Source organism: Homo sapiens, chromosome 3 (genome assembly GCF_000001405.40).
Source record: "Homo sapiens chromosome 3, GRCh38.p14 Primary Assembly".
NCBI classification, from domain to species: Eukaryota; Metazoa; Chordata; class Mammalia; order Primates; family Hominidae; genus Homo; species Homo sapiens.
In genome coordinates, this window is record NC_000003.12 from 7,691,914 (window position 1) to 7,716,382 (window position 24,469).

Below are 24,469 nucleotides of genomic sequence, written 5' to 3' on the forward strand. Positions count from 1 at the left end.
CTCCCAAAGTGCTGGGATTACAGGTGTGAGCCACTGTGGCCGGCCCTGTGTTTTATTTTAACTGGCTTTCCTTTCTCTTTTTTGTTTTCGTTACATTTTTGTCTATCATAAACTCTCAGAGTTGGAAGTCATGATATCTAGGATTGCCAATAAAGTCAGGCAACCTTTTCTCTAGGTACAACAATCTCTATTTTCAAGATAGTTTACTGTGGCCTTTTGATGCATCATTAGTAGTCTTTTGGCTTGGTGAAATTGAGAGAGAAGGCTATCAGTCACTCAGCAAAGCTGCTATGGGACAGATAGGCTCATACCACCTGATATATGAACCACTACATGTGATTAACTTCGACAGGTAGCTCCTGGCCGGCTGGCAAGCTGAAGAGCATTTTAAGTACAAATAATAGTTCTGGGGTATGTCTTGAGTGATAGAATGATGACTGAGTGGAACAGATTCCCTTAATTTTAGCTCATGAAAACACATTTGGTTTCCTTCAGAAGCTGGGATCCTACCAAAAAATCAATTAACAAAACTTCTCAGAGATCTTCCTTGATACTTGGAAGTTTGGCTTTTATTGCACTTATATTAAATATGGGACCACCCTGGGGGGCCAGACTCATTCATCTCAGTCTTCAAAGGGCCTATCATGATCATTTGCAACAATTTAATAATAATATTAGAAATTTTCACCATATTTTCACTATTGCTGCAAAGTTTAGAATGTACTCAACTATCCATTGAAGCAGGTCTTATTGACAGGTGGCAAAACTGACTTAGAGCAGTGAATTAACTTTCTAGTAACACACACCAATGAGTGGCAGAGTAGACACCTGTACTCAGGTCTCATGACCAGAGGTCTTTCTAATGAATTTTTCTGAAATGGGATTGAATAGGGTAAAATGTCTCAGTCTACATCATCCATCTCATCATCATTTCTTCTTCTCGTAAGTTGATTCTAGAGGCCCTCAGTTTGCTAAAGATTAGATAGGTCCTCCAGGGTTTCAAGGAGGGAAACATAATCTAACTTCAGGGCCACTGTGGAGTGAGATGCATCTTTCTTTCTTTCTTTTTTTTTTTTTCTTTTCGATATTGCAAAGACCACTGGATATAATTTCACTTCCTCTTGGATTTTTTTTGATGGTCTAAAAATTTAAATACTGTACTTCCTGTTATACAAAGAACATGGTCTGCTAGAACGGAAATGTTTAATTCTCAGAATTCATTGAAATCCATTGATGATCATATTTGACATCTACTGGTCATCCTGAGTGAAGTTTAGCCATTCAGAGTTCAAACGATGAGTCTTCATATACAGATGGTTATAAAAAGACTCACCTCTGCTTAAGGTAATCAAGTTTGGCATGGAAACATGAGCAAAGGTAATTAAACTCAGAAGATTTGCTAACATTAAAAAATGGCAATTTCCTGGAACAAAAATGTGAAAAGCTAATTCCCCCCACCCCCTCATCACCTGCTCCTCTCTCTGCTTTTGCCATAGCAAAGCCCTATAAAGAAACTGGCCACCAGGGTCATTATCAGTCTGAGCTGAAAATTTGATTAAGCTGGCCTCCTAGGGTTAGTATGAAAAATGCTACATTTTTGTTCTTGGACCTTAATTCCTCTTTCCCTCATTTTTGTCATGTTTGCAAATTTCATTTGCATTTAATTTCCTGTGGTTTGCCAAAGTCCAGACTGAGACTTGAGCTGTTGTTTTTATTCAGGTGAGAAGTGCAACTGCTACTGACCATCTGCACTGGCATCTAGTCAAGCGATTGTCTGAGGCAAGTATCTGTCCTTCTAAGTGTCCTAAGGAAGCTTTGCTACCCAGCCCACCAATGAACTTAATGATGAGTGAAAGAGACCTTATCCTGTTTGCATGAGTTTAGTCGGGGGTAGTTCTCATCACATGCCAGCAACATCCTCTTAAAAGTCCAACATAATTAAGGAAATTGCACTAAAGATGTCTTGAGATCATGGCCCACTAGAATATTGTCTAGGAGCTTTATGTAAGGAAGACATCCATGGTACCAAATGATGAAGAGATCCCTACTGTGATCTATTGTTCTACTGTGATGCAATACTGAAAAGCCAGTCTCTTTCTGAGTACTGGATTCTCAGTTTTTTCTGGGTCAAGAATGCAGGAAGAGTAGCATTCATGGGGGGTTCTGACCCATTCCCATTTACAGGAAAAGAAAATCAAATAAGGGATCAGTAGGTGAAACTTTATCATTAATGCCAAGCAAGAAAATGCTGACTCTTTAGAAAAGATCATCTCTCTGTGTCTAAATTTCCTCATCTGCAAAATAGAACCTCATATGGTAGTAGTGAGAAATAAATAAAGGTAAAGGGCTTAGATCAGAATTTGGCACAACAGCCGTTCAAATGTTAACCATCAGTGTTGTGATGGCGTCATCTCAAATTAACTGGATTTTCTGTTTCTGTTTCCTCTAGGAAAGGATTTTGGAGATTCCCATCTGATATTCTTCTATTTGGTCTCTTGTACCCATTGTCATCCTGTACCACACATAATAAAGTTTAAGAATGTCAAGCAATCCATCTGCATCTAATTTTTGTTTGGAACAACCTGCAGGATTTTACATCTTGAAATATCAACACATCTCCTGTCTTGTCTTCAACCTATTTAGTACTGATCATTTTTGGAGCAATGATGCCTTAAAGCCAAAATTTCACTGTATTGTCAAATGAGCTATCTGGGAAATCACATTTAAACACACTCAGTTTTCATTTAATTTCATAACACAACGCATGTTTCCTGACTCTAGGCATAAATACATTCAACATTTTCACCATCATGGTTTAAAAATTAGTACCTGTTAGTACTCAGATATTTAAGGAAACACCAATGACCAATTTTAAAAAGTCCTATGTATGGCAGAAAATTTGCCAAAAACAAACCTTCTAAAGTACATTTCAGTTTATACTTCGGTCTAATTTAAATCATTTGTTCCCCTAACCTGGTGGGCATCAAAAGGTCACCTGTATTTAACAAGCTTCCCAGTGATTCTGATGCACATCCAGGTTTGGGAAACAGTCTTATTTTTTAAATTGTCCTTGATAAGAAACACATGCAATACGGCATTGAAGTGATGGTGATCACTTACAGAGCAAAGTGTTTTTCATGGTATTAAAATGATTGATTTTTGAAAAGTTATTTGGGTTTATTGCACAAGTGGCATCTACCATGTCCCCAAGAAGTCACCCCTCTGTAGGCTAGCACTGTGAGAAGCTATGTCAAGGTCCTCTCTCAAGAGACTCTCCAGACTGGTGTTGCAGACTAAATAAAGCTGAAGTTAATTGCTGAGCTCTGTTACTGGAGCAGAAAAACATAGCATCACCTTTGTTTAAAGCTGAATCTCCATGACAACACTCAATAAGAAGCTGGGTCAATATTCCTTTTTTCTGCACTCAGTCAGCCACAAGGCCTGGCCTTTTGTAGGCAAAGTGTGTTGATACATCTTATGCAATCATTTCAAGGCACTCAGCCGAGGAAGTCTACATTTTTTTTTAGCCCTGAAGTCCTCAAAGAGATTATGATTTTTAAATCTTCATTTATGCTTTCTATGCGTTTCTGCCCAATCAAGTAGTGAAAATGGTCAGGATAGTCTTCCATAACTGTTGCTGTTAATAAATCAGCCATGATCTTGTGGAGAAGCAGTCTAGTGCCCAGGTTAAGACTTAAGATGCTGGAGCCCATATACCTGGATTCTAAATCCAACTTTGTCGTTCTCCAGATTGTGATGTGGCCATGTTGCCTACTCTGCACATCAGTTTTCTCATCTGTAAAATTGGTATAATCTTAGTAACTACCGCATGGGGCAGTTATTAGGATTAGATTAGTTAATATATATGACATGATGCTTAAAACAGTGATTGGCATAAAATAGAATGCTAAATAATTTGTTGTTTCTCCTTAATGACTATCATCAACTGACATATAGTTGTCAATCCATACAGTAGCCACTGGATACCTGTGGCTATTTAAATTAATGAGAATTAAATAATCTTAAACATTCGGCTTCTCAGTTGCACTAGTTAGATTTCAGGTTCTCAACAGGCACATGTAGCTAGCAGCTCCCATATTGGACCACAAAGTTAGAGAAGATTTCCATTATCACAAAAAATTAAATAGCACTGAGCCACAGCTTAGAGAAGGTAAAAAGAGGGATAAGAACGTCCTTTACAGAAGAGTTCCTGTTGTTCTTAATACTCCCCATTGCTTATGAGAATTGTCTATAGGTCTCTCAGGAGTGTTTGGACCCATTTCTTTTGTAGCTTCTAGTAAAAAGCCATTTACATTGTAGAGTGTACGACATATATTGTGAGCTAACAAAAATAGTTTGCCAGAAATGATGTTCTCTTAGTTGAGAAGGTTTCCCCAATTCCTTTCACAAGCTATGTTTAATGCTTTCTATTCATTCATTCTATAGTTGAACCTAATTCTTGAAAAGGAGGCAAGATGGCAAGTTTGTTTGTGGTCAGTACATGGATAATGACTACAGTAAGGCCCTGTATCTAAGGGAGGATGGTTTTCTTAGTCACCACCCAAATGGAAGTAATGTGCATATTCACTCATCATGCCATGTTTCCTTAGTAACAGAAAAGCCAAATTAAATATTCAAGGATATGAACAGAGGCTTCACCCAACCTTAAACAGAACACTTCCAAGCACTTTTCACTTGGATTGGCCAACTTTGAGATTCGGTTGTCAGCTGGAAAATTCTCTTTTTCTAAAAAGTCAAATTGACGTGTCTTATTTTTTTCTGTGCATGGTTAGCCCTTGGCAACATTGTCTGACAGTTGCTTTGTAAATGTTTCAGAAGGAAAAAACAGTACAGGCAAAGGACTGAAGATGGCTATTTTTCAGCGATCAGAAGTTTTATGTGAATCGTGAACAGTTAATAATGTTTTACATTAGCTAGAGGAGTTTCTGCTGTCAATTTATATATTGGGAGAGCTTTTATTTAAAACTAGCATGGAAAGCTAGTAAGAAGAGCCAGCAAAAGATATTTAATCCCAGTTCCAGGCCAGTTCTATCAATCGGGTTGAGTACACTACAGCTAAAGATAAACCTCCCTCAGCATCTCAGGTGCTCATTCCAGACAGAACTCAAGCTGTTAAATGGCCAGATAAGGGATTGAGAAAGAAAGAACCATGTCTTTCTTTCTATGAACTTGCATACAAGCTATACATTTTTAAAAATATTGACTTCTCAATCTTCTCAATAAAATAGCATCAATGAGTTTGTGTCCAGAAGTATAAAATAGGCAAAAAAGAAAAATATACCTAATTTTTAAAAATTACATCATCATCAATTAACTATTGTAATCAACTTGCCCTTATGTAACATTTTATAGTTTTGTTTTATTATGTGCTTGCAAATTCAGCATCTTTTTTTTATCTTCAGGGTATCTCACTGAGGTAGGTGTCATTATCCTCATTTATAGAAAGCCTGAAGTAAGGCTCAGAGAGGCTAAGAAAATGATCCAAGGTATTAGTGACAGAAGTTTTAGAACCCGTTCTGATCCCTTTATACCTCAGCATTTCTTCATTAAAGAGCTGTAATATTTTTGAACTAAAAAATTTAATTTTAAGCCAAGGAGAGAACAACAAAAGTTATCTCATGATAGAAGATTCAGATTTACAATGCAGTGTACAAAATCATTTTAGTTTCTTCTACTCATAGATGATGAGCAGTGAGTCGCCACTTGTCACCTTATCTAGCTCAAGCCAGAATGGAAAATCAATCAAGACAGACAGCTTTAAAAGGAGGAGTGAATTATTAGCGCTACATAGCAGTTCATGGTGCATATCTCCCCAAGGCCAGAAGGCTGGCATAGCTGAAGATGAGTGTCTGTCTTGTGTCTGAGGGAGGAGACAGCATTCCACTCTGCACTTTCACTCAGCTTTTGGCTTTCAGTGCCAACTATTAAGGAGGTTCCACCATTACTGTAGGGGTTATAAAGACACTGCAAATGCCCAATTTAAAACCAGGCTTCTTGTGTTCGAACAAATCGTCTTGTGAGGTTTACTAAAAAGGTTATATTAAGTCTGAAAAGAAAGAAAAGTTTGCTATTAATTTACAGAGTGGTTACTCTTGTTAGGGACTCTGCATGGAAGGCTGAGATAGAGCAAGCCGTAGCTCCTCCAAGAGTTTGCAATTAAAAGGAGAAAGGAGAACAAATTACTCTTTGCCAGGCATTATACATTGACTTATGCCAGATGTATGTAAAGAGGACTGAAGGGGGCCATTTGCAAGGGGAAAGTCTGACTATGGCTTAAAGATGAGGCAATATGGGAGATAGTGTTCTGGGCAGAGGGATCGTCCTCAATAAAGTCCAAATGCATAAAGTGGCAGCAGCAGTGGCAGCCATGCTGTGTGGCACATATTGGGTTCTTCCCATGCACCAGCCACTATTCTGTGTACTTAATATGTATTAGCTCATTTAATTATACAACTGTATGTGATAGACATCATTAGGCTCCTTTTACAGATAAGCAAACTGAGGTACAGATATTTTAAATAATTTTCTCTAAGTCACACAGCTGATAAGTAGAGGATCTTGGAGATAAGCCCAGGCCATTTGGGCCCAGAGATCATGCTCTAACCAATGGACTACCTCCCAGTGGTAGGTAAATACATGGTGTGTTTGTGGAAGGTCTGTTTTCCAGTACAGCTAAACCACAGGCCTTTTCAACCATGGCACTACTGACATGTGGGCCTGGACAATTCTTGTTGCAGTGGGCTGTCCTCTGCATCTGAGGATGTTTAGCAACATCTTTGACTTCCACCCCAATGCTGACCATCAAAGACATCGCCAGAAATTGCCTAATGTTTTCTGAGGGCACAATTACTCTCAGTTAAGTACCCCCGGGCTACTACATGATGGGTAAGCCTGGAGAAGAGCAGAAAAAACAACTAGAACTTAGCTGTGAATATTCCCAAATTCTCTTCTGAAAGCTATGGGAATGTACTCTATATAGAGAAAGATGTCAATTGAGGTTTTACAACCAAGGAGTAGCAGAAAAGATAATATGCAGAAACACTGGGGCGGGAAGTATTGTCAGAGACCCTACATGCTTTCGGCATCTTAGCTTAGGAACAGGATATATCTGCAGACTTTATAAAAATCTATGCTCAAAAATCTCAAAGCTACAGATGGCAAAGGGTAATCTCTCAGAACAGTGCAAAAGTTGACCTTAGTGGTCTCTGGGTTACAGTCAATCCTGACCTGAAAGTTCAAAACTCAAAGTTTGATTTCAGGTAAGAAAGATTCTACATCTAGGGAAAAACTGACTACCTAGTTTTCTGAAAAAGCTCTGTCATCAGACCCCAGGTCACCTGTAAATGTGAACATAATTACATAAACTTTAGAGAGGACATCTCTACAGGAATATTTACTAGACAGTTGGTGACAATGGGAAAAAATAGAAGTATTCTTCCTTCAACTCTCTACATACACATTTCAAACCAGGGGATATGTATTTAGAGTAGTTCTTATAATCAGGAAAGGAAAAGCCTATGTACTTTCTAAATTCTATAACAAACAAGTTACTTTTATGAAACAATTTTTTAAATTTGAAAATGTATGGTTCGAATGGATCTAATTTGAACTGCACCTCTGTTGGTGAGTAGACAACACTGATCTAATCATAAAATTCATCCATTTTCAAAAATTAGCGAATTTTTTTTCTTTTCTGCTACTTATTTTGGCTCCTACTGGGTTTTTTTTATCATGTCATTGGGAAGGATTACAAAGAATTATTTTCTTAGCCCTCTTTATAAGACTGCTATGAGCATTTTGAATCTAGTGCAGTTCCAAGCTTCTAACCAACTTTATAGTTTTGAAGATACAAGTTTTTCTTTAAAAAAATAACCTGATTGCCTAACAAAAGTTATCTGATCCCAGAAGAAGTGAGGCATCTTTGACTGGAGAGCCAGTCTAGGGTCAGAGTTACAGGCTCTGGAGTTGGACCTGGCATAACTCTGAAACAAACATCTTCCCATCTAAGCTGCCTCGTCTGTCAACACAGGGATACAGTACCCTCTGTAAGCAAGTTATTTCAAGACTGGGTGAGATGGCACAAGCTAACGTCCCAGGATGTGATCTGATACATAGCTGATACTCAGAAATTGGTGTCCCTTCTCAACTAGCATTTAGCAGAATCATCTAGGACTTTTGGGAGATCAGATCTCCTTTGGAACCTCTCAGAAATTTCTTCTGTATTCAGATAAGACAACAACCTGCTTTCAACAAGGGCACATCCCCGCGACTCAGTGGATGTCCCTGAACTCAAGTCAGAAACCTGCCTCCCTCTCCCAACAACACATCTCTCTGGTCTCAATGACAGCCAGAAGGACAGTGGAAGCTGGAATTGTAGGATCCAAGCATCTCAGCATCAGCAGTTCTCCTGGGAACGCCACCAAGCTCTTAGCTTGCATTGTAGTAAAGAAAATACATAACAGAGAAAACTGTCTTCAACAGCTTTGTTTTAAAAAAGATACTCAAATAGAGTGCCTCAGTCTAGATCGGTCATTCTGCTAAGGATTTGAAATCTCAAACAGCTGGAGATTTTTTCAAGCTTGACAGTTTGTCTTTGAAGGAGATTGCTAAGCTTTTAGATTCTTCATAAATAGTAAATAGATTTAGTCATAAATATCCTGTAATATGTGCTTTGTTCCCTTTATTCAGAAGCAAGTTGTAATTTCTGATTAAACACAATAAATCATTATACAACAGCCATTGTATGGGGATAACAGCCACCAGGAAATGCAGTTTCTGCACTGATGAAAGGCATTGAAAGACATGAAACCCCAAACATCTGCCACGCATTGTTAGGGAAAAAAAGGACACTTACAAGTATCTTGCGGCATTTTAAGGACAGCCAGCAGCTGGCAGGAATGTAAATAGTTTTAAGAGGTAAGAAAGAAATTCAGATCATAGGATTAGGTGATCAGTCCTCATCTCACAGGTCATTCTTTCCTTCCCTTCATAAGTGAAAAGCTTTCTTCTTCAAGACAGTTGTTAACAGAAAGCAAGCATCCAGAAGGTGGAATCAATAAAATCCTATGAGGGCAGTGAAAAATGAAGCCCTTTTTACCCTTTCCCCCAGGGGAACAGATGCATGAAATTGTTTAGAATATTTGGAGACTGCCGATATATGATGTGGAATTGGCACCGCCAGCATCCTGAGACATGCTTGGGATTGGGCATGAGTGAGAAGCTCTGGCATAACGATACAGGGGACCTTGTTGGCAGGCTGCCCAGTCTGTCTCCAAAGATGCTTTTCTTTCCCAATGCCATTAATTCTCCTTGGCCACTGGAGGCCTGGTTTTGGAAGCTCATACAGAAGATACCTGTGGTTGCATTTTTTTTTTTTTTTTTTTTGAGACGGAATCTCACTCTGTCACACAGGCTGAAGTGCAGTGGCACGATCTCGGCTCACTACAAGCTCCGTCTCCTGGGTTCATGCCATTCTCCTGCCTCAGCCTCCTGAGTAGCTGGGACTACAGGCGCACACCACCACACCCAGGTGATTTTTGTTGTATGTTTTAGTAGAGACAGGGTTTCACCATGTTAGCCAGGATGGTCTCGATCTCCTGACCTCGTGATCCACTCGCCTCGGCCCCCCAAAGTGCGGGATTACAGGTGTGAGCCACCATGCCCAGCTGCCTTTATTTCAAGTCATCCCTTCAGGCCTCAGTAAGAATTGAAGGAGGGTAATTAAACGGGTGGTAGGATGGTAGGAGCTTCACTCAGAAAACTCCCTGTGGATGGTCAGTTCACAGGGATTCCTAAGAGAAGATGTTCTTCACTAGAGATTTGGAAACTGAACACTAAGTTCAACAGAACACAGTATCCTTCATGCATTGAAAGCCTGCTAATCACTGATGATCTTCAATTAGACATTTTTAGACACTAAGCTCCATGACAGTGGGAACCGTTGTTTCCTCTTTGCCATTGCATCTTCGTCACCAAGCCTATGGTAGATAGGCAATCCATTTTTTACACTATCATATAAAATACAATGGAGTTTCAATGCATGCATTTTCAGCTAACATGCATTGGACCACATGAAGTCTATATAGAAGAAAAGGGAGGGAGCAGGGAAGGAAGTAAAGAAAAAAATTCTTCTTCCTACTTTCCTTCTTCAACCTAGAGGCAGGCCCCCACTTCAGAAGGAAAAATGAAGCCTCAACAAAACTGCAAAGAGAAACTGAGTAAATAATTGTGGGCTCTTCAGCTACTGAAGTCTCAGGCCTTAGTGATTAATGAATAATTTAAGGCAATGCTTCTCAAATTTTAATGTCCATACCATCACCCAAGAATCTTGTTAGACTGTGGGTGTAGATTCAGTAAGTTGTGGAGACTCCACATTTTTCACAGTCTCCTGGGTGATGCCCATGTTGCTGGTCTTTGGAGCACAGTCTGGATAATGTAGATTTAAAGGATTCTGAAAGAAAATTTTGACTATGTACAACCTTTGCCATGCATGCTGATTTAAAAACCTAACCCCTATGGCAGATATGAGTCCACTAGTCATAAACATTTTAATCTGGCTTCAAAGAGCCATTATATAACTACACTAAAATTTAAATATGAAAACTTGATGCAATTCAATTGGCTATTGTTATCTAAAGGTGTTTCTGTCTTAGAAAACAAAATATACTGCAAGTTATAATTTCACTTAAAAGATGCTTTAAGTTATTCTTATAAGTACAATGATTTGAAACACTTAAACACGTAAATAATAAAATATTCAAACTCCATTTGCACTGTCATATATACTGATCCTAATTACAGGCTACAGATTTTCATCTAATTGCGAACAGTAAGTCAGCTCTTGAATAATTAGGAAGAGGATGGGATGCAACTTATTGGAACAGTCTCAGAGTACAAAAACACTTTTTTCAAATGTCACTATGACATTTTAAAAAATACACTGAAATACAGAGGAGATAGTCATAACAAAAACTAATGAAAAAATTAATCCAACATTAGGATCTAGTAGCAAGATGATCACTAGCTAAAATATGGATATTCTATCTCTATGGTTCTCAGTACTGACTGCTCATCTGAATCACTTGGACACCTTTTAACATACACCCGTGCCTGGGATCTGTCACCCAGGATTCTATGTAATTGGTTTAGGGTAAGTTTCCATATAGCTATAAGTTTAAATATCTCCCCAGGTGAATCTAATGTCAGCTAGAACTGAGAAGCATTGCTGCAATGTAGCATTGCTCTAATGTTCTCCACTCTGATCTTAGGACCAGAAGCATCGGCAATGTCTAGAAACTTATTAATAATGCAAATTTTGGGACCCCACTCCAGACCTGCTGAATCAGAAACTCTGGGGTTTAGATCCATTAATCTGTGTTTTAACAACCCCCCCAAGTAAGTCCGATGCATGCTACTGTAAGTTCTTTCTTAAGAAAGACAAGGGTCCTCATCGATGTTCTTACTAAAAAATTCTTATGAGGGTTCATTGAAAGATTTCACATTAAGACTTTTTTTTTTAATCTGGTGGATGGCCTACACCCTGGGCTGTGGTGTTTATTCTAGAGATGGCTCTGCCACTTCCAATCCGGGAGTTTCAGCTATACAGGGGATCTTAGGGTTATTAAAGATTTTATTTTAATTGTGCCAATCTAAAAATGTGATCTTCCATAATATGCTTGAATACTTCTAGTGATAGGGAAACTACTACCATCTGGCCCAGTCTTTCCCATTTGCTTACTAGGCATAGGTGCTATACTGAGCATTTTACAAAGATAATTCATTCATGCTTGACAATTATCCTTGAGCTAGTTGTTATAATATACATTTGATACCTGCAGAAATGGAGGCTTAGAGAGACTGTGTAAGTTACTAAGTTCACATGGCTTTTCATAAAGCTTGCACCAAGTTCTGTATCTTGAGGCCACATACAAAATTCATTTTCAAAAATGATTACCTATAAGCTGTTGTCAGAATGAAACTGTCCCTTCATACTATCTTGTCTCCAAAATAAGAAGCCCTTGTTCCTTGCAGCCAATTTCTAAACCCATCCATCATTTCTGCTGGGTTCCATTGACCAGCACACAAAATAGACTTAATAGATTGTCCATTCTATGCATCCATTCAAACAGTGATTTTTCATGTCTTAGTGCATATAAAACATGATAACATTGGTAAAGCACACTGGGTAAACTGGAGAGGATTTAGGGAAATGTATGTAAAGCTTGCTGAAAAAAATCACTTGTTATTTAAGTATGATTACTAAATTCAAAAGTTTTAAAGCGGTTGAATGTTTATTTTGTATCAAACTTCAAAACCTAGTATTTTCAACGTTTTAAAATAAAACTCAGGCTTGCTTTCATGAACAGCTATTTCACATCAATTTATATGCATAAAAGAGTTATAAAAAAATTCCTGGTCAAGACTTTTTGATGATACTCTCTTCAAATTCTTTATAGAGAACATAAATGAAAAACACTGAGTGAATGATAAAAAGTTTGAGAGTATTTTTTTCTATAATTCAGAAATGTGTAACAGTTGAATTTATATTTGAACAATCCAATAGCTTCTCTTTTATTGAAAAAAATGTAATATTAAAATGTCTTTTGATAATATGAATTAATTTTTAATCCTATCCAAGCTTTAAGTTTTTAAAATAACGATATTTTAATTTGTTGAATACACTGCACTGTTGTCATGCAGCTAGCCAGGATGCTACCAAAAGGGTACATCAGTTACAATAGAAAGAAGTATTCAATATATACGTGAACACAAATATATGGACTGGCAGCTGGACCTAGACCTGCCAGAATGCCCATCCAGCCATCTTTCCCTGATGTCCCCAAATGCCTGGCTCTCTGGGCATATCCTGGAGCTCCACAGGGCTCTTGTCCACCCTGGGCAGTGGAACATATGTACTGAACCTCATGTTCAGGTGGATAGAGAACCTCCTTGGCCATGCTTTACGGCAGAATGGCAAGAGCTGGATATCATTAATTGTTCGCTTAACTATAGAAAACCTGGGACAAATCACCAGTTCCTTCTCTGTTCGAGAAGCCTTCAAGACTCCAGACAAGGCTTGTGCTGGCTAGACATGATAAGCAAGATTACCCCCCAGGTCTTGACTTGCTGTGCCAAGGTCTAGAGGGTGATCCCTCTAGAGTATCTCATATACTCTACACATTTCTGAAGCCCTGAAGCCCAAAATAGCTTCACCTTGGCCAACTCTCCTACCCATGTCATCCTTGAATGTGAAGGCCTTTTTGAAAGAAACGTTCAGGACAAATCAACCAGGGCACAAAACATCTGAAAGAACTTCTTAGATACAAATGATTATTCTGGGTGGCAATGTTTACTCTACAATTACTCATTCGAATTAAAATTTCAGAGTGGCAGCTGCTAGCATCCTACCCCACAATCATTATCTAAACAAAGTCCAGTCTGAAGCCTACCTGCATCAAAATGGCATGAGGTCATTGTGAAAAGTGCAGGACTATGGATCCACCCAAATCCAAACCACTCATTCCAGCTAGGGACACAGGTTACCAATTGATAACAAATACAAAACTGCAACTGTGAAAAACCTCTGAATAAGAAGTAGAGGGAATTATGAAACAAAGCTACAGAGATCAAAAGCAGCTTTCTTAAAGGTTTGTGTGAACAATGTGTAGGCATTAATAAACACAAAATGGATGGGAAAGCTAGGCAAAGAGAACTTGTGCAATGGCCATGCTTTGGGAGTATGGTAAATGTAAAAGATCGAAGAAAGGCCAGTGTGACTAGAGATAAGAGAGCCTCAGGAAGTGTGGTTCAAGAAAAAGCCTGGGAAATTAATATACATCAAGTGGCACCAATATTTGCAGACCAGTTCAGGAATGTTTTGACTTTATTCTAAGAGCATTGGGAGGACATTTAAGAGTTTTAATCACAGAAGGTAAGAAGATAAAGAGTACCATGATCTAAATTATGTATCTAAAATAAATCACTCTAGCTGCCACATGGAACAATTCAGCTTGGAAATATTTCATAAGTTGAGGTATCAATGTTGGCTTTGAGTACAGAGGTGGTGGTAGAGCAGGAAAGAAGTGGAAGGAGACAATGTATCAGAGGTAAAAACAACAACACTGGAGATGAATTAACTTTCAATTCCACTTCACCACCCATAATAAATCCCACTGACTTGAACTTCAGAGCTTACCTACATACTCAGATTGACTTCTATAGCCCTAGACATAGAAAAAACAAGTAGGTTGATTGCATCTTTATAGAGCCATATTGCCCAAATTCACTTGATTGTATTTTTGATCACTTATCCATACTATGGAGTAGAGTGAAATTTCTCCAATACACAAGGCCAATTATTTTGAGATCTTTACAAAGATATCTCTATCTGTCTATATATTATATGTATGACCCTATGCAGAATGTTGTAGTTTGTATGTGTGTGAAGAATTTAGGCAAGCTGCAAACTTTAAAAGGAACACTCCCTAAGACCATCCCCAACTGCAAGTTTGGAGGGAAGATTTTTCGAAACTACCCTAAGTTTTGGTAATTTGCTTAGAAGGACTCCGAAAATTCAATGAAAGCTGTTATACTAACAATACAATTTACTACAGGGAAAGGATATAGATTAAAATCTACCAAGGGAAGTGCATGGGACAGGGTCCAAGCGAAGTGTCAAATGTGGAGTCCTGTCCACATGCAGTCATAGACATGTTACTTTCCTGTATCTTTGTGTGACAATATGCAGAGTATTGCTAATCAGGGAAGCTCACTGGGCCTCAGTGTTCTGAATGTTTACTGGTGCTCCATTATGTTTGCATGACTGATTAATTGCCTATGTGGTTGAACTCAGTCTTTAGTTTGACTGACACCATGTGACCCAAAGCCTCTGCCATAACTCACAATGTGGTATTTTTTGCATGACCAACCACCACCCTAAATCGCATGGTCACTATCTGGCTAGGAGGAGGCACCCAGACCAGCAAAGATCGTCTCCAAGGAGCCAGACCTCTCTTTGGGAAAGGTTAAATTCTTTATGTATAATATACCAGTAACATCAAAAAAAATGATTTATGTGACTAGTAGTGGAAATGAAGTTAAAAATCAATACTGCATTGAAATGAGAGTATAAGCTTATAGAAAAATATGCTACTTTTCTCATAATAAGCAGCTTAAATTAACTGAGGTTACATTCTACCTTGCGCAGAAGTAAGTTTTGCACCTCTTAGATAGAAAACGGCTTTCTCTATCTTTCCTCCCTTGCTAGCTTCAAAAATCCTACTTCCTGTGACCAACTAGGAGAAAAATGCATTTCTTGAGAAGACTGACAAAAAAGGAAGTTGGGCTACATTTCAGCATTTTAACCTTTCTCCATAGTCTGAGTTTCTTGGTTTAGTCATTTCTTGCCCACTGAGTCAGTTAATGGGCCAGATTCTAAGGCCTTCCCTTCCTGTATCTGAGGAAAAGTCACAAGGGAACTGAGAGGCAGGATGACTTCCTGTTTAGCATGACTGCCCACGTGTGCTTTGCCATTAATTACAATCGGGCAGTTTCCATGGAGGCCGCCACTTGAATAATGCTTAAGTGACAGCACAATCACCAAGAGCACCATGTTAAGTGGGCACAGTCATTGGCCTGGCATCTATTTTTTTTAATAATTAAACCATTTATTTTAAAGGAAAATGAAAATACTATTTACAAAACACCAGAAGATGGTGGAGCCTTTAGGATCACCAGAAATTTCCAAAATCTCTTAGGCCAGATGCCTCCAAAACAGCCCCAGGAACTAGTCTACTACTCGCTGTCTCTGCCACAAAAATTCCAAGCTCCCTTTGTCTTTTCTTTAACTATGGCCTCTCTGGCCAAGCCAGAACCATTGCACATGTCTACTTACTGTGCTGTATGCTCATAGTTTGCCCCATTTGCCATTTAACTTCATTCTTATCAGAGTTCACTTTTGTGGTACCACAATAGAACATATTGCTGTGAAGCTTTCAATTTTTTTTTTTTTTTTTTTTTTTTACTTCCCATGCCCTATAAAGCAAGCCTTTTTTTAACTTCCAAACTCAGAGACTGAATTTTGAGTGCTTATAAAATTGGGAATATCATGGAACACTCATCTTGGTTAATTTCCTATAATTATAGGATTTTACAGGATATAAACTGGTTTCTGTCATTTTATTTGCCTCTCCAAATCTTTTTTTTTTCTCTTTTTACTTTCAAACCTTCAGTCCCAACACCATCTAGCTAGGTTTTGGCTTTGTGAGGTTTTTGTCTCATTTATTTTATTTTTGAACACGTGCTTTCATGTACTTTGTTATATAGAGTAAAGCCTAGTTTCCTTAAAAATATGAGTTGATGTAAGGTTAATATACAGAAAACAATCATCAAATAATAGTATAGAAAAGCAAACATGGCAAAAAAAAAAAATCACAAATGTGGTAGACTGGCCGGTTGCACAGAAAGCACAGAGTGCTGTAGGCACAAGAAGAAAAGTCCTCATTCTGCCTAAGGCAGTCAGAGGAGGCTTCCTGAGAGAGGTGACGTCTGATCCATGTCTTGAAGTGATCGGGGGTTGCCAGAGAGGAAGGTCATGGTCTGTTGGACAACATAAAGTATAAGGTGCATTTAACTTTATACAGGTACAGGGACAGGAAGGTAATAGGGTTTGAAGAGCGAGCCTAAACTTTCATTCATAAGAGCAAAGGAGTTTTCCAGGAAGAGGGACAGAAAGAGTTTGAAGGCAGTAGTAGAGGTTGGAAACCAGTCACTCGTAATAGCATGACATCCCAACATCCTACGGTTGATCTTCCCTAGCTCTCCCAGCAGCCGGGTAGGATCCCAGGGAAGTACCTCCGATGAGATGTGAGTTGGCTTGGGGTTAGGGTGGAATTTCTTTATCAGAAAAAATAAATGTAATTTATACATAAATATAAACAAATATAAAAATAGAAATATAGAATATATGTATTATATATAATTTAAAAATTGTGTGTATGCACACACAACTGAGACTTTGAAGACTAGAAAAGTGGAATTGAAAGTCAATTCAATCACCAGGTCTTGTTGCTTTTACCCGATACATTGTTTATCTCCTACCACTTCCTTCCACCACCTCTGTAGTCAAAGTCAACATCCATCCTCTGAAAAAATCTCAACTTTTTTGTGGTTGTCCTATTTCACTTATTGAACCCATCTTCAGCAAGCGGTCCCTAAGTATTAGACAGGATAGTATCCATGATAAATCCTTACTCATGTGGCATTTATGTTTTAGTCAAAATTAAACAATGTATAAACAAATATAAGAATATAATTCTATAAAATATGTTACATATAATTTTAAAATTGTGTGTATGCATGCATGTATTTCTTGTTTACAAACTTTGATAGAAAAATGGCATAGTTTGGAACAGAGAGTTTGGGTCAATATATTCTACACAGTGAAGGAAAGAGCCCAGCATCTTCTGGTTTGTGAAGTTTACTGGGGCAGGACTAATGCCCCAACTTTGCTCCACTCTGTCATTTCTTAGGTAGAAGCTGAGAAATGAGTGTCAGTGGAGACAGACAATCAGGCTGTATTTTCAGAATACAGAAAGTGGAGCCTCAGAGAGTGAGGGGATGTGGGTGGCTCAGTGGGCTCCTCCTCTCTGTGTCAACCACAAGTTCCCCATCATTCGTTGTATATTTTGGGTTTCCCAGTAGGACTCATTTGAGTAAGATTTCCAAACAAGTGTGAAGATTTCTGCTTTCAATAAGCAGTTCAGTGTTCTCAAACTCAAGGAAAAATAAACACAGCCCAAAACTCCTTGCATTGGTTTGGAAGAACTTGTGTTTCTGGAGTTGGGGAGCAGAGAATGTGCCCGATTATTTCTAGACTCCTTATCTCCATTACAGGAAGCTGCCTTCCACAGAAGACAATGAGTGCCAGTGGAGACAGATGATTAGGCTACCCAGGTCCACCTTTCATTCCCCATACGTCAGCCTTGGAATGCACATTAGGCGCCCTCCTGACCCAAGCTCCCTTTTTTCCTGTGACTTGTGGTTGCTCCAAGAATTCGGACAGGTCATGGGTGGGACTTCTGGAATCTGAATGCTGCCCCACTTCTTGGGATTATAAATATAGTACATAAGTACTATGCATAAGTATGTATATTATGTGTGTATATATTATTATATATAAACAATACTATAAAAGGTATACTGTTCTTAATAGTATAAGAATTATACTATTGCTTTCATTTTAACTTGGGTTTATATTTTTAAAGACTTACATATCTCTTCAAAAAGTACATTAGATATCTGTAATCAGACTCATTATGAAGGCAAAAGAATGCGTAATGCAAAAGATCTGAAGCTATTTTCCTTAAAAACAAAACCCCAAAAACCTCAACATGAAAATGCCACGGGACCTGTTTTTGCTGTAGCAAAAGATTTTGCACAAAGTGCAGCCCTGTCACTCACAAACACAGTAATCGCTGGAGATTACCAGTCATTTTCATTATAGGTAATTTCAGGGTGCCTTGTTTTGCCTTGTCACTCACATTCCTGGAACCTTGCCAGATGGTGTAAAAGGAGCATTATCAGGAAACCAACCTGAGCCCCATACCAGAGGATAAATCTGAGGCTCCACTGAGTATTTCTGAAAATACAGCCTGATTGTCTGTCTCCACTGACACTCATTTCTCAGCTTCTACCTAAGAAATGACAGGGTGGAGCAAAGTTGGGGCATTAGTCCTTCCCCGGTAAACTTCACAAGCCAGAAGATGCTGGGCTCTTTCCTTCACTGTGTAGAATATATTGACCCAAACTCATCAGCACAGGGTATAAAACTCTTGAAAGATCTTGCCCTAGTCTTATCTCCCCAATTCTCAATGCCATAATCTTCACCCCATCATGTGAAATAGCATTTATCCCTGCAAATGTACCACTGTCTCTGCCAAGATCCTCCCCACCTTTTTCACCTGTCTCAACCTCACGTTGCCTTCAGCACTTCGCTTAGAGTCACGTTTTCTGGGCATGTCTCTGATCTTAACTGCCTAAGACAGGAATGTCCCTCCTATGTACTCCCACAGCCCTGAAACTGCCTCTGTCACACTGTTTTTCTGGTTGCTCTGTTTCATTTATTCAACCCATCATTGGCAAGTTGTCCCTAAGTATTAGACACAGTGGTATCCACGATAAATCTTTACCCAAGTGGCACTTATGTTTTAATGAAAAAGAAAGATAAAGAATATGTATGCAGAAAATCATAAGGGCAGTATATCAAGATAGAGTGTGGCTGGGGGTTGCTATTTTAGATAAGATGTCCCCAAGGAAGTGACATTTGAGATGAGACTAAATGATGAGAAGGCACAAACCATGGGAAGATACCTGGGAAGGTATTTCAGGCAGTGAAGATATGATTCACGTACAGCAAGTTCAAAGGCCCTGAGGCAGGTACAGATTTAGTGGGCACCCAAATGGCAAGGAGGCTAGTGTAGTGAGCGAGCAGGAAAGTGGAACAGAATGAGGTCAGAATTGCAGTTAGAAACTGGTCCACTGGTCCAGTGAGAAGCTGGCAGTGAGAAGAATTCAGTCTCTGTTTCAAAGATTAAAGGGAAGCCATTGGAGTCTCGTAATCAAGACTGTAACATGACCTAAGCCACCTCTAACTCCCGTTATAGCATTTCTCAAAGGCATGCTGCCTGGAACTCGGACGGCACCAAAGCTTTGTACTCTGAATCAATGAATCAACCACCGATCTTGGGCCATGACTCCCTATCCGCGTTCTTTTAGTTCTCTCGATGCCTCGCCTGTGTGTTACACACGCGGCACCATTGGCGCCTTTCAAAGATCAGCTCCTTCCAAAGGGGAAATGTCTGTGAAGAGCAGAAACTGACAAGCCACTCCAAGGTGTTTCATATGCTCCCAAAACAGTGAGCACAAACACAGTCGGCTTACCTCCTGTTCTTTCTGTACCCACTTGAGCTACACTGTAACTAAACCAATGAATAGCCCAAGAAGATATTTCAAGATTTTTGCAGTTAGTGACTGTCATAAAATGAGCATTTCTGTCATCATGACATATGACTGAGCCACAGCAGACTGCGCTGTACCCATCACAGCTCTTTTGTCTTTGACTTATGAGCACTCCAGGAGAAACTCAATCTCCTTAGCGGGGCATGCCTTCCTGTTCCCCGTGCCAGCGGCAGTGGAGGGAAGTGCCAGACAGAAGGGACCCAGCTCCATCTTCTGCCATTTGGGAGGCTTTGAGCAAGTAAACCTTTCTAGGCCTCACTTTTCACAATTATAAAAATGAATGAAAGTAAACCACACCTTTCTCATAATGTGTATGATATGAATAAGGCCTATGAAGTATATGCCATAGATACACTGTTAACATAGGTTGGGTGGGGGCTGTAGGACTGTGCTGGGGCTCTGACCTGGTGGCATCCTCAGCTGCACCCAGCCCAAAGGCCTATTGTGGAAAGATGACTTTCTCTCTCTCTTCCTCCTCCCTCTCCTTCTCTCTCTTACCCTTGCACTTTTTTGTTGGATCCTTCCCTCTCCTCCCACCCTCACATCTAAATTTTCTTTCCTTCCCTCTTTCCTGAATTACAGTAGATCTAAGTACCTTTTCACTTAATAACAGGCCCCACCACCACTGGTTTCCTTAAATCTCACCTTTGTTAAGTATTTGGTTTTGATTTTTATTTTTTCTTTGTTCTTTTTTTTGTTTGTTTGTTTTGTTTTGTGGTAAGAACACTTAAGCTAAGATCTACACACTTAGCAAAGTTTCAAGTGTATAATCCTGGCCTATGTTACTTTCCCTGTGTTACCTAAAGAAAGTATAATGAACTGGATATAGTTCTGAAGGCTAGAAGTCTGAAATCAAGGTGGCAGCAGGGCCATGCCTCCTCTGAAGCCTGTAGTAGAGGTCCTTCATGTTCTTTCAGCTTCTGGCAGCCCCAGGTGATTCTTGACTTGTAGCTCCATCATTCCCATCTCTGCTTCTGTCTTCATTCATGTGGCCTTCCCCCTCTGTGTCTACCTGCCTGTGTCCAAGTTTTCTTCTTCTTATAAGGATGCCAATCACTAGATTAGGGCCCACCCTCATCCAGTATGATTTCATTCTAACTTGGTTATATCTGCAAAGATCCGACTTCTGAATAAGGTCATATTCACAGATAGAGAGGATTCGAATTTTGTTTTGTTTTTTTTTTTTTTTTTTTTTTTTTTTTGAGACAATCTTGCTTTGTCACCCAGGCTGGAGTGCAGTGGAGTGGTGAGATCTTGGCTCACTGCAACCTCTGCCTCCAGGTTCAAGCGATTCTTCTTCCTCAACCTCCTGAGTAGCTGAGATTACAGGCACCCACTACCATGCCTGGCTAATTTTCATATTTTTAGTAGAGATGGAGTTTGACCACGTTGGCCAGGCTGGTCTCGAACTCCTGACCTCAAGTGATCCCACCCGCCTCAGTCTCCCAAAGTGCTGAGATTACAGGTGTGAGCCACCGTGCCTGGCCAGGATTTCACTATATCTTTTCAGGGGACACAATCCAATCTATAATGTGGCCCCTGTCAAACTCCAAGTAGTATTAAGAGTTCGGAGCTCTAGAGCAGATATGAGTGTAAATCCAGGTTCTACCTCCACTTTCTACAGCACCCTTGAATGAGTTCTCTGATCAGAATTTGAGTTTTCTCATCTTAAAACAGGGAAAATAATAGCCAGCTCAGAGAGTAGTTCAAGGATTAGTACCAAAAAAAATTATTTGAATAATGCATGTTAACAGCATAATAATTGTAAAACTGCAACAGAAAGAAAGGTATAAAACAGAATTTGCTCCTGGGATGCTCTCAATTGGAAGAGCCACGGATGCTTTCTTTTTTTTTTTTTTTTTTTTTTTTTTTTTAAAGCAATGGGTAGAGTTTGCCTTGAGACATCCACCCACTCATTGCCTGGGAAGTGGAAACACACATTTAGTTAAGTAGCTGATGGGAACAAAAACAAGGGCATTCCTAAGAGCCATCCGCAGAGTCTCTTCTTTACTGAAAGTAAGCAGAGAGAGCCACTTGCATCAGGCCTTGTGATGCAAAATTGAAAGGCAAAACCAATCTCAGCTAAGCATGCATTTCTGTTTTTGTTTTTGAGTTTTTAAAATCCCATTTCAATGAATATGTATTGCCAAGGTTATCTAGTGAAAGAAACTGGGATGGAGAACAAAACACTCTACAGAGCTGTGCCATCCAGAAGGCTTGGAATTAACCTGAAGGCTTTATTAAACAAATCAAACTGGGGGAGGAGATATTTGCACAAGGCCTTTTCACACATATCTAGTAAAGAGTAGGACAACTGAGGCAACTCTTTCCATATCTCAAAACAAAGAATAAAATCCAACTGGGTCTCTTCAGTTATCTCAACTTCCCAGATTTAAACAGTCATGTGAAAAGTGCCAGTTATCTTCTAAACTGTGTGTGTGCCAACAAGGCCAAGAGTGATAAACAGAACTTGACAAAGACGTGAATTTCTAGAAATGTCCCCTATTACCTTGCTACATTGAATGTTTGGATTGTCGACCAGCAGCATCATTGTCACCAGGGGCTTGTTAGAAATGCATTCACTTAGGTTCCATTGCAGATTGAGTCAGAATCTGCATTCTAGCAAGATCCCCAGGTGATTCCTCTACACATTACAGTTTGAAACATGCTCTTTGGCACAAGTTTGCTCTCCCAATCTGCCTAATGCTGACTTTGTGTGCATATATCTACTCAGCAGCCTGGTTGTACCAGCCAAGAGCCCACCAGCACGTAATTTCCTCTGTGGATAAATCCTCTATCCAAGAACAGTTTGGGTCCTGTAACAGAGTCCATTTCCTTGCGAGACCAAAGGACACCATCAAAAACCAGAGGTCTATTGGTGCAACAGTGTTGAACTGGAACATAGCTTTGTTCCCACCTATGAAGGTTTGCAGGTGCAAAATGCTAAATTGATCTTGTTCTCATGCCAATGGCAATGAACAGTCACCCATCTGGTAGCTTCTCTTCCCAGCCAAAGCAATGGCTGAACCAAGGCTTCTCCTTGCCAAAATCATGGCATTCAAGGCTCTTGCAGGAACATAGACATGCCTTCGATTTGGGAGATAAATAGCCGATTCTTCTCACTTTCAGCTTTAGTAAGGATTGAAGGAATTCTCACTGCATGACCCAATAGGAAATTATCTGTATCACATCTTCTACTCTATCTATGACAAAAGGAAAGCAATGGTGGCTGGGTGCAGTGGCTCACACCTGCAATCCCAATACTTCAGGGGGGCAAGGGTGGAGGATTACTTGAGGCCAAGAGTTCAAAACCAGCCTGGTCAACATAGCAAGACCCCATCTCTACAAAAATAAAAAATAAATGAATAAAAATTTAGTCAGACATGGTGACATGTGCCTGTAGTCCCAACTACTTAGGAGGCTGAGGCAAAAGGATCACTTGAACCCAGGAGTTCAAGGCTTTAGTGAGCGACCATCATGCCACTGCACTCCACGCCATAGCATGACCCTGTCTCAAAACAAATAAAGCAATGGAGGAAAGAGATGGTAACATATATTTACTAAGGACTGACATACTAATAGTGAGTGCTTACTAAATGTCTACTAAGTGTCTGTGTTTACTAAGTACTTTACTTATATAATCCTCAGAACCACTAAGTAGGTTCCATTGTTGTTCTTATTAAAGAGCTAAACAAACTCTTATTGAATAGTACAGAGAGTTTAACCAGCCTGCCAAAGTCACACAGTAAATCACAGAACAGGGATTCAGACCCCGCACACTTGGGTTCCTGAATCTCACATATGAACACTCCACTCATGTATCTGGCATACACAGAGAGAAATAAGTGCAACATAAAGGTTTCCAATTCAGCCTTCTTTAGTTTTTGAATCATTTGTCTCCTTCCTATTTCTTCTTCACTTGCTACTGCAGGTATTTGTCTCTTCTCCCACTCTGCTCATTTCCACCTCCTCCTAAAAAGAGGCTGCAGGGATTCAGCAGCCCTTCCCTAACCCAAGCCAGGTTCTCCTCCCCAGTGTTATTCTCACCCCCTTCTAATTCCTTACCAGCCTCCTCTCCTGCACCACCAGGCTCTCCTCTCCCAAGGAACCTATCACCTGTCTTGAATGCAGGGGTATCTGAGAAAACCCAACATCTAATTCAAAGGTCTGGAGCTTTGGCCAATAGAGAGCTTTCTAATCATGCTGTGGGGGGGTGTTTTCCTAGTTCAGAGACATATGGGATGGATGTATCCATGTCCATTTGCATTCTGCTAATGGCACACAAGCTGTCTCCTTCTTACAATCCATTCTAAAGCATCTACTCCTTTGGCCAGCAATTCCCCACACTCGTTCCATAACTAACTTGTTCCACAACCTAAGGGCTGGGATACAATTAGTGCCCTCATTTCCCTTTCTTTCTGCCTACAGGGAA

At 39.6% G+C, this 24,469-nt stretch overlaps 1 protein-coding gene across 5 annotated transcripts in view, besides 1 other annotated feature; it reads left to right on the forward strand.

Moving 5' to 3' along the window:
* GRM7 (glutamate metabotropic receptor 7) overlaps window positions 1-24,469 on the forward strand; it is an 880,419-nt gene that overhangs the window by 830,799 nt on the left and 25,151 nt on the right. The window contains exon 11 of one of the 5 annotated variants that reach the window (XR_001740135.3): window positions 1,720-2,550. The exons of the other annotated variants lie outside the window; for them this stretch is intronic. The gene's annotated coding sequence lies outside the window, so the exon portion shown is untranslated. Of the gene's footprint in view, window positions 1-1,719; window positions 2,551-24,469 lie in introns of those variants that run through there. 5 annotated transcript variants of the gene reach the window in all.
* Window positions 8,564-9,114: an enhancer, noted in NCBI's record as "OCT4-NANOG hESC enhancer chr3:7742164-7742714 (GRCh37/hg19 assembly coordinates)". NCBI's record gives its function as "activates a minimal SCP1, AML or CMV promoter by ChIP-STARR-seq in naive H9 embryonic stem cells {active_cell/tissue: H9 hESC(naive)}" and the evidence as "EXISTENCE:reporter gene assay evidence [ECO:0000049][PMID:30033119]".